Source organism: Homo sapiens, chromosome 11 (genome assembly GCF_000001405.40).
Source record: "Homo sapiens chromosome 11, GRCh38.p14 Primary Assembly".
NCBI lineage: Eukaryota > Metazoa > Chordata > Mammalia > Primates > Hominidae > Homo > Homo sapiens.
This window is the reverse complement of record NC_000011.10, coordinates 122,407,313-122,424,058: the sequence shown is the minus strand read 5'-3', so window position 1 is coordinate 122,424,058 and position 16,746 is coordinate 122,407,313. Positions and strand designations below refer to the sequence as shown.

The following is a 16,746-nucleotide window of genomic DNA, read 5'->3' as shown; positions in this document are numbered from 1 at the left end:
ACTATGCCACCTGCCAATGTCCGCAGGCTATGTGACCAGTCTGAACTTACTAGGAGTGAGCCTGCAGACTGCAGAGCCTCACCTGGGATTAAGGAGTCCTGGGTTCTAGTCTTGGCAATGCCACTGACTTAGCTGTGTGGCTTTGGGCTTACATGAAACTTCTCTAGGCCTTAGTTTCCTAATTTGTAAAATGAGATTGTGGGCATAGATCTGTTGTTTCTTGTACTGCCAGATATTTCAAGGGTTACTGCAAACTACCATCCAACAAAGAGCATCTCTGCATTTCACAATTTTGCAAATGGGGCTTCCTCTGTGGAGTTCCTTCAAAGAATAGCTCTCGTTAAAAAAAAAAAAAAAAGGATCTTTAAGGTTACATTCTATAAAGGATTTTAGGATACATTCTATAAAATCTAGTTTGAAAACATTTAACCTAATTATTATTTTTTTAAAAATCCAGTATATTCTCACTGGGAACATCATTTATGATGATTCTAAATGGAGGAGGAGATGAGTTTCGGTGTCACTTTTTTTCTTCCAGCTCTTAAAGACTGATGTGCTGACATGCCACTGTGCATAATTGGAGGCCTGGAATTTCATGTAAATTCACATTGTGAAACCTGATTTAAAAGTCTGGGAAATGTGACTGTATGGAAGACATGGTGTTCACACAAAGTATCCTTGCCCTATGTTTTTCTTTGGTAAATATCTCATACAGAAAGGTGCCATCATTTTCTCTAAAAGTTTTCTCTCCTCTTCAGTCCTCAGAGTGTATTTTTAGTGAGCTCTTTGGAAAAATTTTTTCAAAAAGTTAAAGAAAACCACAAACAGTATATCCATTCAAAGTGCCTAGTGTCCCATCGGAGCTCTTGGGGAAGAGTAAACTCTCCTAGCAAGCCCAAGTGATGCTGGGGCAGCCTGTAGCCCCAAGATCTCTGGTAGCCCCAAGATCTCTTTTAGCCCCAAGATCTCTGCCTGTAGCCCCAAGATCACTGGTGCTGTTAGCCTATCTGTATTTTATCAAGGCAATTAAATGGAATTTGCTGTGCTTCAGTCTACTAGTGATTTGGCAAGAAATATTAGGTATGCTGCAAAACTCATTGACTATAAAGGTTCATTTTTTAGTTCCCAAGTGCGTCATTCTTGCGTAGGCAAATTCCATTAAGGTGAGTGCTCTCCTTGTGTGTTCTCTTGATGTTTTAATCCTGCCAGGAGTTTCCGTGAGGTTTTTTCAGTGGGATTATTTGTGTCCCTGTGGCTCTTCAGGGAGCTTGCAGAATTCTAGCTAAAGATAAGAAGGGCATCGCTTCAAATGGGAGGCCAATCAATGCAGCATTAGGAAGGCTTCATTCAGCTCAGCACCACCTTGGGTAAGTGCAAAACTGAGTTTTCAGCTACTGTCTGCTGACAGGCAAAACATTTCTTTGGCAATGAAGAGTAAACAGACACCTGTCTGGATTTGACACTCCTGGGGAATATAAAGATGAATTAGTAGCTGCCTCTCCCTTGAGGATCTTACGTGGGTGCTCTTGTTATCTCTTGCTATATAATAAACCACCCCAAAATTCAGTGACTTGAAATAATGACAATCATTTATTTTGCTTATGAATCTGCCATTTGGGGTTTCCAGAGTTACTCTTCTCAGAAGCCCAGGTTGAGTCTAAAAGGCTTCTTATGACCTGGCCTCAGAGGTCTATCATTCAGGCAAATCATTAAGGCCAGACCATATTCAGGGGGAGGGGAGTTGTCCTCCAGGTCTCCATGGGAGTAGCAAAGAATTGGCACAGCACTAAGCCTGTTATGCATGTTTTCCCTAATGTTCACAACCACCCTGGGATGAGAATGTTACAAATGAAAAAAGTGAGCCGTGGTGGCTCAACTAACTTGCCTATGCCACTCACGTCCCAAGTGGCAGGGTAGATTCAAACCTAGTACTCTGGTCTTGCTAGAAGAGAACTTGTGGGTCTTTGGTTCAATTTCCTTAATTTTCAAATAGGAAAAACAGACCAACAAAAAACAACTAAACACAAAGAACGAAAAGAAAAGCCTGTTTGGTGTAAAATTTGACTTTAGGTCAAATTTGACTTTAGGTCACTTATGAGTTTCCAAGGAGGAGCTGTGAAAGAGTTCAGGCAGCCAGATCTTTCAAGTCTGGGCATGGTTATGTTGAATGTTTTTAGATGAGGTAATGCTGTAGATAGTCAACAGATAGCATGTTACTGTGCTCTCCAATCGCTGTCAATTTCAGGAAACTATAGGAACACTAGGAACAGACGCCTAAATGACTTTGACCTCAAGTGCAAGTACTTAGGGTAAAATTATCTCACACTGTGATGTAAATTTCTGCTATGCTCTGTTTAATTGTATTTTATTTTCAGATTTCATCAGGTTTGACATAAATGTATTTATAATGATTGCATTAACTGGGATTTGAAGCTCAAAATGAATATGCTTTTTTTTTTTGAGATAGGGTTTTGCTCTGTCACCCAGGCTGATAATATACCTATAAAAAGAAAGAAGGAAGTTTTAAAATGTCTTGTGTTAGAGAGGGTTGCTTGGGATGCCATTGTTTTTAGATTCACCAGCACTTAGCCACTGGAAGTCTTAGACGGTTCACGTAAGAAGAAATAAGTCTTTATTGTAAAGGAAATTAAGCTTTTCTGATGGCAAAATATGGACTTGTGTCATACTGTTGATATGGATACACACTATGGGTCTATGGTCTCTCTTTTTTTTTTGCAATTGAATGGTGAAGAAAAGCAATTTCTTCTTTCAAAGAAAGAAGATAGAAGTGTAGATAGTGTGCTGAGCACTGCAGGGAAAAAGATAAAGAGAGAAAAAGAGCAAGAGAGACAGCCAGCCTTGGCTATCAAATTACTTCCTTTTACAGGAATCAAATCTATAATGGAAGAGATATTGCCGGGTTTTTATACTTGGTGAAGTTGTTGAAAACCTCAAAAAACAGAGACGATTGAAGAAGTCTAGTCTCAAATTAAGAGATCCAGTTGTAATTACTGTACAAACTTGGAGAATATCTGGAATAGATTGATCAGTGACTGCAATAGCTAAGAATTTGTGTATATAATGTCTCAATACACAAAGGGGTTGTGTGGTGAGTGCTCTGTATGTTTGAGAGTGTATTTCAGTGAGTTCATTTCTTTGTATCTGCCTGCAAGTGTTGTTAGCAATTAATGATATTAGGGTTTTTGTTCCTGTTTTTCAACAAAATACTCTTTTTATTTATATTTTTTTGAGACAGAGTCTTGCTCTGTTGCCCAGGCTGGAGTGCCGTGGTGCAACCTCAGCTCGTTGCAACCTCCACCTCTCAGGTTCAAGCAATTCTCATGCCTCAGCCTCCCTAGTAGCTGAGACTACAGGCATATGCCACCATGCACAGCTAATTTTTGTATTTTTTAGTAGACATGGGTTTCACCATGTTGGCCAGGTTGGTCTCGAACTCCTGTCCTCAAGTGATCCACCTGCCTCCACCTCCCAAAGTGCTGGGATTGCAGGTGTGAGCCACTGCACCTGGCCAGAATACTCATTTTTTAAAAAGGATAAACGAGGAGGAAAGTAATCTGTTTGCCTCTAATTATAATGGGAAACAGCATAATTTGAATAAGACCAAAGCTCACATTGAGAGCTGTGATCTCTGCTTTTCAATAAACCCAGAATATCCATCAGAAAGTTTCCATCTAGATTATTATAGATATATTTGTTTTAACTCTGAGGACAGCATACTTGTTTTCCATGTCATACTCATTTGTAATTTTAAAGTTCTAGAATTTGATTCCTTTCTCTTCTGACACTAAGAACAGTGCCTTGAGCATAGGTGTTACGAAGGGTGTGCTTCAGGGAAGAGGTAATAGGATTTTTGTACATTTTAAACAGTTGCTACTCTTGTGCTAATCACGGTTGAAATTGTCTGTTGACCTAAATTGTCTACCAAGAGCCAGTTAAAGAAATGTTTGTGCTCTGGGAGCTAGGAAGAAGGCCCTGCGATGTTCTCCCATAGGTGGCAAGGAAAAACTTCCTCTTTGCCCTCTGCAGGTTCACTGAAAATAAACTGACAAAAGGCAGATTAACAGAAAAAAATGCATACAAAATGTATTAAGAGGCACACATGTGCACTGGAGTCATACAAAATATGAAAACTCAAAGAAAAGACCAGATGGTTGATTCTTTTGTTAAATCAAGTTTAGTCCAAAGCTGCCTTCTTACATATTTTAAGTTTGGCCTAAAGATTTCTCTGTACATCGTGAACTATAACCTAAATGCAGTTGTAAACAGACTGTAGCCTACTCTTGTGCCAATCACAGAGGTTTGGCCAATCAAAGGAGGTCAACTGTTCAAACCGTGTTTAAATAAGGCAGATGCCAGGCTGTAACCAACTTGGCTGTTTCTGTACCTCATTTCTATTTTTCTGTACATCTCTTTCCATTTTTTTTTGGGACAGGGTCTCACTCTGTCACCTAGGCTGGAGTGCAGTGGAGCAATCTCGGCTCACCACAACCTCTGCTTCCTAGGTTCAAGAGATTCTTGTGCCTCAGCCTCCCAAGTAGCTGGGATTTTAGACATGCACCACAATACCTGGCTAGTGTTTCTATTTTTAGTAGAGACGGGGTTTCACCATGTTGACCAAGCTGGTTTGAACTCCTGGCCTCATGTGATCCACTGGCCTTGGCCTCCCAAAGTGCTGGGATTACAGGCATGAGCCACCATGCCCGGACCGTCACTTTCCTTTTTCTGTCCACAAATCTTCTTCCACTATGTGGCTGTGTTGGAGTCTCTGAGCCTATTCTGCCTCAGGAGGCTGCCTGATTCATGAATCATTCTTTGCTCAATTAAACTCTGTTAAATTTAATTTGGCTAAGGTTTGTTCTTTTAACACTTTTATACCATCTTGAGGTTACAGAAAGAATAGATGCACAGAGCATGGCAAGACAGGTACTGGGAGGGAAAGAAGAGGAAAGGCAAGGCTGGCAAAGGTGGCCTTGTTATTGTAGATGATACCTCACAGGTAGCAGCTCTCAGAAAGTATAAGTTACTGTTAAACCCCCAAAGGTGTGAGACTTTCAGTCACTTTCTCTCGTGAGCCAGTCCTTCCTAGATCTAGACAAGGGAGTGAGCAGAGAAAGCCTGCCTGTTGATTTCACGGATGGAGATCTTCTCTAGAGATGCAAATCTCCTCCACAAAAGTCAGCTTTTCAGGGCTATTCTGTCTGCAGGCCCTCTGAATAGCCATCTCAAAACATGTCAAAGAAATATTTTGGGGTGAATATTTTTATTTTCCTCTAGTCCCCCATTTGAAACTTTTATTTTTAGAGTGTCACATATTAAAGCCCAAGTTGGTAGGTTTGGGGAGATTTGGGTTAGAGATTGTGAGATACGAAGTTGGTAAAAGGGGAAAAGAAATCCCTATTGAAACAAGCATCCCACATCTTCTTGAATCAGTCTCTTAGTCATGAGAATAGGTCCGTTCAGTTAAACAGTTGTGTTCCCTATGATGGCATTGCAGATGGGCTCTTGTAAGGGCCAAGGAAAACCCCCCCCCCCCTTTGACCTCTGAAGGATCACTGAAAAATCACTGACTAAAGGCAGGTTAATAGAAGAAAAGGCATATAAATTTATTGGGTCATAGTTTTATGTGACACAGCAGCCTTCTAATGAAGACCTAAAGATGCAGGGAAAGTTGTCCATTTTTATGCTAGGTTTAACAATGTATGGACAGCCATGTAGAAATATGATTGGACAAAAAATGTGTAATATAATGGTAATAGACTGAGCGGGGAAATGCAGCAAGGCCTGTCTGGTTAGATTCTTCTTGGCCTTTCTGCGGAGCATTCCTTCCTTCTGAGTCTCGGGCAGGGCCCTCTCTGGAATGGAGGTCTTGGGACCTACAATGAAACAAGACAGATCAGGTAATTTCTTTTTGGTCAGTTTTTACACAGAAAGGTGTGTGTTGTGGAGGTTTGGGGGAGTTAGAATAATATTTTTACATTTTATGGTTGGCTTTGGGGAAAAGGTATTCTGGTTTCTATGAACTACCTCAGGGAAAAAGGATTCTGGTTTCTATGGCTGACCTTGGGAAAGAAGGAGACGCCAGAGACAGAAGGGTGGGAGAAGGTCAGAGAGAGCAGATTTTGAGGACTTTATTTTGGGGTGTCATTTTCTGAGCTCCTACATTTTCAAATCTCAGCCTCTATATGTGATGCAGGAAAACAGATCTTTAATAAGAGGCATGTCTATGGAAACAGAAGAAAAATAAAAGTTAATGTCTGGAGTCGTCTATAAGCTAGTTTTTCTAGAGTCTCCGAAGCATCTTTAGTTGGAGTAGGCAGGCAGTGGAAGACTGGCAGATTTTTCTGGATTGCAGTTTGAATCAGATGTTCCAATGAACTGTCTGGATAGTTCATATATCAGCAGGCACAAAAGCCATTTACATATAAATTGCTGTAGTGATTTCTTTCAAAGTTTATAACAAGTAATCTAGCTTTACTACTTAGGCCTTTAAGAAAAGCACAGTTTTAATTTCTGTCAATTAAAGTAATAAGGGTGGGAGAAAAATGGGAATCATTAGTCTGAAGGGTCACAGCCAGATATTTGAAGGAACTAACGTCTTAGAATTTGGTTTGGATAGGAGGTAAATAATAAAACCTCAAACAAACAAACGAACAAATGAGGCATTGTTACCTAATAATGGGTGTATTATAGGTTTTCTTCCAGAACATAATTTTTTCTCTTTTCAGTCCCCCATTTCTACCAAGAATAAGTAATAGTGAGACCTTTATTAGCCAAATAAATGTTAGTCTCATTATTATACTTGGCTTGATTGTTTGCATAAAGTGTACCAAAAATAGTGATATGCCATATGGGATCTTTTTAGATTGGTTTTGCTGGAACATTGTTCCAGCAAATCTGTAAATAATTTCAGATATGACTTTTGAAAACCTGGTGATGCTTATGAGCCAAGCCAAAGGTTCTGTAATACCTGTACAAATAGGATGAGTTCCTCTTTTTTGAGGTCCCCTAAATATCCCGAGGTTCCTGGGCCTGTCAGAAAGTGACGTTCTTTACTTGCCACAAGGAACCTTGTTAGAGAACCACGTAAACAAGATACTAGGCTTGTGTTTTCCCAAGTCTATTGGTCTTATAAATTCAACCTCAGTTCCTCAAAGCAATCTGGTCATGTTTGAGAATATTACATTCCAGTCAGAGCCATGGTAAAATAACCAATGTCTCCAATTGTGTTCTGTTACAAAAGAAAACAGATTCTTACTGAATTTATACAAACATTTATGTTGCCATAAAATAAGAATACTCATGAATAGTATTCAAATTCTGGAAGGATCAGGTAGAGAGAAAAGTAAATAAGTTTTGCTCACAGATACTTTTTACCCAATTGCTACAAGCTATAGATAACTTTGAAAGAAAAAAAGTTTTCTTGACTCTGGAAAACAAAATATAAAAAGAATCAATAATGTTTTAAACAAAAAAAGGCAAAAAAGTCATTTTAGTTTTCCATAAGTTTCATCCCATGTCATTCATTCTTATTCTGGTTGATGTTATGTTAGAAATTTTATAAGTCCATTTTTCTTTCCTTGGAGTTTTTGAAATTGTTACCCAGTTCAATTATATGATCTCAAAGTTGTCAGAAATCTGTATTTAAGAGTACTTGTTGGCCAGGCGCAGTGGCTCACGCCTGCAATCCTAGCACTTTGGGAGGCTGAGGCAGGCAGATCGCTTGAGGTCAGGAGTTTGAGACCAGGCTGGCCAAAATAATGAAACCCAGTCACTACTAAAAATACAAAAATTAGCCAAGCGTGGTGGCGGGTGCCTGTAATCTCAGCTACTTGGGAGGCTGACGCCGGAGAATTGCTTGAACCCAGGAGGCAGAGGTTGCAGTGAGCCGAGATCATGCCACTACACTCCAGCCGGGGTGACAGAGTGAAACTCCGTCTCAAAAGAGTACTTGCTGCAGTCTTTTCCATAAATGTCCTTGAAGACACAATACTAAGATTTGCAACTAGCTTTTAGGAAAAAAGGCATCAAAATAAAGCAATTAACTGTGGATGACAAGACTTAAAATGGCCATGATTAAAGACACAATTGACAAGGAAATTTGGTTATTTTCTATAAAAATTTAACCAAATAGTCATAATTATGACATAAAATATACCAAGGCATATCAACATTTTAGGAATCATATAATTTTGGAACACCTGTTAATAATATGCATATACAAGATAACTCAAAGAAGGTTAAACATCATTTCTTTACTACTACAGTTTTTGCTTCCTATTAATACTACACAAACATCTTTTTCAAAAGAGAAAACCAAATTTTACATGTGTTTGTGTATTCATACTAAACCTAATTTTAATAAAATCTTATAAACAAATTTATCCAGTCTCAGTAAGCTTTGACTTACTGAGATTTCCATAAATCTTTTATACAAGATTTTATACAAGATTTTACACAAGATTTCCATAAATCTTTTATAACCTCTTATATTTTTCTATCCTCTTTTTATATCTTTTTAGTTTTATCCATATCATTTTTTTATTCCTTCAATTTGAAACAACCTTTAAATTACTTCTAAACTAGACAAAATCATGTTTTCTTTAACAATAAAACCACATTCTCCTGCCTTTTTTAATAACTTTCTCACCAAAAACATATCTTGTCCCCCTCTTTTTGGTGCAATTTGCATATAGAATTATTATTCTCACATTAGTGGTCTTAATTACATATACTAATATAAATCTTAACACTTATTTACCATAATTTCTAGTGAAAATCTAGGAAGTTTGTGCTTTTGAACTGTTTTATATCAGAATTTGTAGTTAAAAACTATTTCATAATATCTTAGAAAGATATGTTTTCTCAATTTTTTGTTTATTGACAAATCTAAATATATTTAGCTTTTCTATAGCATAAAAAAACAAGATATCAAAGTATATAAACTTAACTTTTGTTTAGTAATTAATGTTTCAGTATTTTAACTTACTTGGAAATGACTCAGACGTTTTATGATAATCTATTACATAATTTAATATAACATGACCAAGATTTTAAATTCTAAAAATAAATTTGAAATTATGACACAGATACCCATCCTAATTCATTTCTCCAGTGCCCACATGGCACCCAGGATGCCTATGAAGAGCAAGGTCTGTCTGGCCCCATCCTCCCAGGTCCAGCTATGCCTCCTGGCCAGGATGGGGCCAAATTGAGCTTGGCTTTTCCTTGCAGCTAATTGTCAAGGCACTCTGGACACTCATGTCCCCAGTCGCCGCCATGGCCACCTGTTCAGACTACAGAATTCAGAGGCTCAAAATAAAAAACATAAGCTTATAGCAAGATGTGTGCAAGGATTCAGGAAAGCCTAGCAGTCAGACTTTACAGCTTTAGCTTACAGATAAACCAGGCATGTATATGAAGTATTACAGAAGTAGTTTCATGAACTTAAAACATGTATCAGAGACAGCATAAACCTATCTGACCAGTAGATCCAGGCAAAAATGTCTGAATTATATTTAATACCAACAATTCTGAAAACATTTCTATTTTATTTTACCAACAACCTTAAAACTAGCTTTATTTACCTAAGATTATTTCAGATCACATGAAATATCACATATGCATATAGATATACAAACAGAAGCAGATCTTAAAGCTTTCATTAAGTTTCTGCATTTGCCAGCTTCTAGCTAGTTTTTGTTTTTCCCCATTCAGATCATTACACTTCTAATTACCTGTTTCATTGCCCCAAGCAATTGTTAACTAGGCAACTCTAAATTCACACTTCCAAAAGGATAACTCTTAGGTAGAACAAGAAGAAAATTTATATCTCAAAGGCACAAAACTTAGATATAAACATCATTATTTACCAAGACAAAGAATGGTATGGGTAAAAGCCCGGTTAAGGTAAGATGGTCAGGAAAAGGACTTTAAACAAAGGTAAGGTTTTCTATGTAAACTTTTAAGTAAATGTCTTTCCCATTGTAACAGTTTCTAGTGGTTTATGTAGAGGAAGATGCCCTTACAAATGGAGATTTTCTTTATAGATATAAATTTCTTTTACAAAGAGTTTAAAAAATAGCCAGCTAAATGCCAGAAAGTTGTACTTTGGAAACTGATTTATTTGGATAGGTGGCTAAAAAGCTTAGTTTCTGTTTTTAACTGGATTACTGAGTTCAGGGCAAAGCTCATTAAAAAATAGTGCTGAACCTACTCATGACTCTTGGGGCTCCATGAGGAAGACAGGGACCCCTAAAAAGGTCAGTGGTGCTTTGGCTGTGTTCCTCATAGGAACTTAGAGTCTCTAGAAGCCTCTTTCAGATATCTTTATGCAACAACTAAACCCATCATATTTCCTTTCTATAATTTTTAAATCTACTGACTACCAAATGGAGGAAGTTGGGGATGACAAAGGTGGCAAAAGGAAGGGCAAAAGCAAATGGGCGAATGAGTCTGAGGGGAGCCAATTTGGGAAGATCTTAAGCTTCTCACAAAGGCCAATACAATTTTATATTTTTCTTTTAAAGCAAAAATCTTGTCAACAAGAAAGGAAGCTAACAGAAGGGCCAAACATAAAATTAAAAAGGGTTCAGTTGACTGAAAAAATACATGAGAGAAATAGGATCCAAAAGAGAAAAGAGGAGCTTTTTTTTTTAATCAGTCTGAATATCAGCTTTTAATTAAGCTGACTTTTGACCATAGAGCTCTTAAAATATATATATATTTTTAATCTTTCATTACCAGATTTTAGTCAGGACAAGTAGCCAATATTCCTGGCTTTTGAACTTCTTTTTCTCTCTCTCTTTTTTTTTTAAATCAAATGTCACTATCAAGCGACTCAGAACCAAAACCAGCATGCTTTTTATAATTTCACCATGGATGCACTAGCCATCTCCAAAGAGCAGCAAAAAAGCAGTGCTCACAAGATCCAGAGCCACTCCAAAGAAAGCTGGAAGAAAAAAGAGACTTGGAGATGAACAGGAAAACAATAGCTGTCCACAGAAGGGAAAAGGATCAATAACAAATGAATATCTTAAAAAGTTGAGTCACACAAATATAAATTCAAAACAAATAATTCAAACTAATTCTTGTAGATGTTTCTTTTTTTTTTCTCCTGAGTTAAAGGATTTACATCCCAAAGGAACTGACTCTCTGACTGGAAATTAAACTCATGCCTCAGCAGTGAATGTGTGGAATCCTTGACACTAGACTGCAGGCTGGATACCCTTCCTTGAAGATCCTGTGGGGGATCCAAAGCAGGCAGTTTGAATGTACGAAGGATTTTAACTTAGTTTTAACTCTGATTTCTGCTTTTTTCAAATCCTGCCAAGGAAGTTTTTAAGGCTATATTTCTTTCATAGGTACTGATAAGATAGCTGTTTAGGACAAGAGCTCTCTTAAGAGTTCTCTTTTAAATCTAGCCAATTTATTTATTCCATCAGTGACTCAAGCCAATAAGCCTTTTCCATGGAAAGTCCCATGGGTAATTTTCCAGGTTTACAATACCATGGTCATAAGTGGCATTTTAAAAATGGATGCAAAAGTTGCACCTCCCCAGTGATACCCGTCTCACAAATTTAGTCCCAGAAATAAACTAAGATAGCAAAAGACTCTTGTCATAGACAGTTACAGCCGCTATTTATGCCTATAGTGTCTCCAGTATCTCACAAATTTGTGAGGGTCCACCAGACATGGACCTGTTAATCTGTGACACTGGATAGGCCCTCCTGGGATTGAACTGTCCCAGTTCTAACCAGGCAACAAGAGTTAAGGCAACAAAAGCCCCTTATAGAAGGAACTCCTTATTAAAATTCCCCTAAGAGCTTGGCACACTTAGAACACAGAGTCTGCTGCTTAACATTTCAGGTTCCCAGTCGTTTCAGGCTGGCCACCAAATGTGACCCCATGGAGATCAGAGAACAAGAGAGAGTTACTTGGTTACAAGTCAAGCTCTCAAGGACGTAAAATGAGAGGGACTCTTTATGACAAATACCATAGAAAGATACAGACAAAGGAAAAAAATTAATTTGGAAAAGAGAAAAGAAAGAAACAGTGATTTTTACCATCTGCTTCACTGGATTTCACAGACAGACACCCAGGAATCTCACTGGTAAGAAATTTGTGCCCTTCTGCTGGCTTGTCAGGTTCTGGGTAACCTTGACTGCAGCTTTCAGAACAGCAGGATAGTTCTGATTATCCTGCTCACAGTACCAAAAACTGTAGGGGCCAAGGAAAACCTTCCCCTTCACCCTTTGAAGGTTCAGTGAAAATAAATGGACAAAAGGAAGATTAATAGAAAAAAAAGGCATACAAAATGTATTAACATGTACACATGTGCATGGAAGTCATACAAAATATAAAAACTCAAAGAAAGGCCCAGATAGTTGATTCTTTTATACCATCTTGAGGTTATAGAAAAAGAGGCATGGAACATGGCAAGACAGGTTTTGGGAGAGGGAGAAGAGGAAAGGCAAGGCTAGCAAAGGTGGTCTTGTTATGCAGATGAAACCTCACAGGTAACAGTTCTCAGAATAGGTTTCTGTCAGACATCCAAAGGTGTCAGACTCTCAGTTTCTCTCTCCCATGAGACAGCCCTTTCTAGATCCAGATGGAGAACAGGGGGCAGAGAAAGCCTGGCTATTTATTTCACCAATGTAGATTTTCTCTACAGATGCAAATCTCCTCCACAAAAGGCAGCTTTTCAAGGCTATTCCTGTTTGCAGACCCTCTGAATAGCCATCTCAAAATATGTTAAAGAAGTATATTTTAGGGTAAAATATTTTTGGTTTCCTTTATTCCTATTAGCACATCTGCCAGGCAGTTTGTTGTCAGTTGTTTTTTCATTCTGTTCTAAGAAGCCAGGTTTCCTTACACAGTGTCCCGAGAGGATGACAGGGGAGGGAGACACAAGGAATGTGGACATTTTTTGCCTCTCTTCTGCTGCAACCAGAGAAGACCCCTTGCAATGGTTTGGATGTTTGTTTTCTCGAAAACTTATGTTGAAATTTGATCCCCAGTGTTGGAGATTGGGTCTAATAGAAGGTGTTGGGGTCATGGGGGTGGATCCCTCAAGCATAGGTTAATGTCTTCCCTTGGGGGTGAGTGAGTTGTTGCTCTTAGTTCTCCTGAGAACTGGTTGTTAAGACGAGCCTGGCACTTCCCCACTCTCTCTTGCTTTCCCTCTTGCCATGTGATTTCTGCACAGGCTGGCTCCCCTTTGTCCTATGCCATGAATGAAAGCAGCCTAAGGTCTTCGCTAGACGCCTATCTTAAACTTTCCAGCCATCAGAATTGTAAGCCAAATGAACCCCTTCTCTTTATAAATTACCCAACTTCCAGCATTTCTGTATAGCAACACAAAATGGACTAAGACACGTCTTCTACCTTTTCATATACTTATTTGTTATTTGTATAAAAGGCATTTAGCTACTTTTTTTAAAGTTCAAAAATGACTAGAATATGAGATAGGTGTGGAACTTACTGCCTGTAGCCCCAAGGCTGTGAGACACAGAACAGGAGGAGTGTCCTCATAAGGCAAGATGAAGGGAAAGTGATGACCCTTTATTGAGGGCCAGCACCAGATTCCTCTGCCAGCTTGGCAGGTCCTAGCAGACGGGCAGCTAAGCTAGTGAGCATGGTAGCTCTACGTGTTGGGTGGTTTGGGGTGGGGTGGTAGTGAATTTTTTATTCTGAAAGAAACAGCTTATGAGGAAAGGGATCTGCTACTGATCACATTATTTTTGCTGCTTTTATTCTCTTCTGACCACGTCTATCTTTGTTGCTTCTGCTTTTCCTCCACTTGTGATGAGCAAATGTGTTGACCAGGTTCTGAGACTTTCTGGAACAGCCAAAAGGTGATTATGATGGATTTTACAAACATAAAGTAATCTCATAAAAAGAGTTCTTCAAAATAGGGTTAAATTCTCCAAATAGGGTTAGATGATGCCCTTCTGTCCTTGGGCCTACAAATCTATTCAATCATTGTTGCTTTAAGAAAACAGTAAGAGGAACCAGTTAATTGAATTACATTTTTTGTAAAACCTTTAATCCCATAATATTATTTAAAGGCATCCAGGATGGAAGAGCACTTTGATCTAATTCCCTTCTTGCTAGACATTCTGGGTCAGGCTGTTCCTGGTTGACTTGACTAGGACACAGTGAGCAGTGCTAGATTCAGAGAAATGGAGCACCTCTATTCACTCTGCTGAGTAGTTGGCCAGCTAGATGACAAAACTTCCATCTCTGAGACTTCTTTCCCTCCAAATGTGTAATGCCAAGTGGCAATTTAATGGGAAAAGCTTCTTTAAATTTCATATTTAGACCTTGCCAAGGAATTTAGCATCAAGATGAATGGGTTTTCTGAAGATGACATGAATTAAGAATGTCCTTTCTTGCAATATTTTCCCATCTCTAGCCTTCCTAGTCTAATGTCATCTTGGCTCCAGCCTACTTTTTCATTTTTCTAATCCCATTAGGGTTTCTTCCTTTCACCCACACCCCCATCAAGGAACTGGCTAATGATCAGGTGGCAGGTTTCTGTGGTCATGCCAACATTAACCTGCAGGTGATAGGGAAACTCTGAGTACCCTCAGGATGAGCTATGTCCTAGTGCTGTTCTTTCCCTGATGGTTTTGGACCGAACATTTGGCTGTATAAGGATGAAAAATGCTTCTGATTACAAGTGCTGGCTTTTAGATTCCAAAAGAGATTTATGTAGTTCAACCTGAAGCTTTTTTGATGTCTTGACTAAACCCACACTTAGTTTGAAAGAAGCTAAGAGTCTGACTCTAGACCAAATTAAACAAAATTCCTTTCACTCATTGTTGATTTGGTATCTTTGCTTTTATACCTGATGTATTTGGTAGTTTTCTTAACAAATGGATATATAGTAGAAATTCTCTCATCCAACCTCCAATTAACTGACTAGACAGATGAAATAAGGTGCCCCATTCTCTCTGTAAAACGTAAGTGGGTGCTATAGATGCAAACCTAATGCAGTGCAGCCAGTACACCAGCCTGCCTCTCCGTCAGTTGAGTTCCCAAAAGCCACTAATGTTTGTTCCTATTTTTGCCAGTTTTACTTGCTAAGTAGATATAACTTAATTACATGTTACATGAAATGTTGTTTCTACAAAAACTATGCCGAATGCTTTGCAAAGACATGGGAAAATAGAGTCACTAAAAGTTTGTTTTTGAATTAAGTATGGTAAAGACAACTCTAAAGGTAAGGGACATGTTCTAAATATTTCTAATTGTTCTAGTTACTTTTGGTAATTACTCCAGGGCAACAGCTTCAAAGTAGGACGGTCCTGAGCAAATTAGTACATGTCAAGGAGATATGGTTTACCAAACCAGCATATGGAGAATAAAGAATATTTCAATAAGGGGAAACTGTATGAATAAAGATGTGAAGGAGGGCGTGTGTGTGTGTATGTGTGTGTGTGTGTGTGAAAAATGAAACTTGGTTTGGTAGATCCTGGAAAGCCATGCAAATTATTGAGTAATAAGAGGAAAATGTACACATTGTTTTGTTTTAACTTTTTTACTAAAGTATAATTTATATATGGAAAGAGGCACAAATCATTAGTGTAGAACCTGATGAATTTTCACCAAGTAACCATACCGGTGCATCCAGCACCAAGATTAAGAAACAGAACATTACCAGAATCCCAAAAGCTATTCTTCTAACCCTGACCAGTCGATATCTCCTGTAAGGGAAACCACTTATCCTGAATCTGTGCATTATAGATTCATTTTTGTCTGTTTTAGTCTTTTATATAAATTAAATCTTGCAGAATGTATTCTTTGTGTTCCTGGCTACTTTCATTCAACATGTTTCTGAGATTCATTCATGTTCTGAGATTCAGCACATAGTAATACTTGAGTCACATTTGTTGCTGATTAGTATTTCATGATATGATTACAGCACAATATATTTATTCACTGTACTTTTCATAGACATATGTGTTGCTTTCTGGATTTGGATATCACAAATAATGTTGAATGAATGGATATTCTTGTATATGTACTTCATTGAATATGTATACAAGTCTCTTTAGATGTATACCTAGGGATAGAATTTCTGGGTATAGGTTACGTGCATGAGCAAGGTTAGTTGATATTGGCAAACAGTTTTCCCTAAATGGTTGCACTAATTTACATGCCCATCAGTGGGTTTCAGAGTTCCAGTTACTCTACTTTCACACCATCACTAGGTATTGTCTTTTTTATTTAGTCTTTCTGGTGACATATGCAATAGCAATTTATTGTGGTTTTAATGTTTATTTTCTTAATGAATAATGAAGTTAAATATGTTTTCACAGATTTACTGTTCATTTGGATATCTTCCTTCATAAAATGCCTGTCAATTTTCTACTGAATAAATTATTTCTTTATTGTTCAAGGAATTTGTTCTATATTCTGATTATTATTCTTCTGTCGTTTATGTGTATTATACACATAAGCCACTCTATGATTGCCTTTTCATTATTTTGTTTTATTTTATTTTAAGACGGAGTCTCATTCTGTCGCCCGGGCTGGAGTGAGGTGGCGCCATCTCGGCTCACTGCAAGCTCTGCCTCCCAGGTTCATGCCATTCTCCTGCCTCAGCCTCCTGAGTAGCTGGGACTACAGGCGCCCACCACCACGCCCAGCTAATTTTTTGTATTTTTAGTAGAGATGGGGTTTCACTGTGTTAGCCAGGATGGTCTCGATCTCCCGACCTTG

The 16,746-nt window shown here is 38.2% G+C and overlaps 1 long non-coding RNA gene across 1 annotated transcript in view, besides 1 other annotated feature; it reads left to right on the top strand.

Annotated features, from left to right (window-relative positions):
* Positions 637–1,836: an enhancer, noted in NCBI's record as "P300/CBP strongly-dependent group 1 enhancer chr11:122292931-122294130 (GRCh37/hg19 assembly coordinates)". NCBI's record gives its function as "activates an origin of replication core promoter dependent on BRD2, BRD4, P300/CBP, MED14 and CDK7 cofactors, with strong dependence on P300/CBP, by STARR-seq in HCT116 cells {active_cell/tissue: HCT116}" and the evidence as "EXISTENCE:reporter gene assay evidence [ECO:0000049][PMID:35650434]".
* Positions 1,188–16,746, top strand: part of MIR100HG (mir-100-let-7a-2-mir-125b-1 cluster host gene) — a 394,543-nt gene continuing 378,984 nt past the window's right edge. The window contains exon 1 of the long non-coding RNA NR_137179.1: positions 1,188–1,367. This is a non-coding gene — a long non-coding RNA (mir-100-let-7a-2-mir-125b-1 cluster host gene). The remainder of the gene's footprint in view (positions 1,368–16,746) is intronic.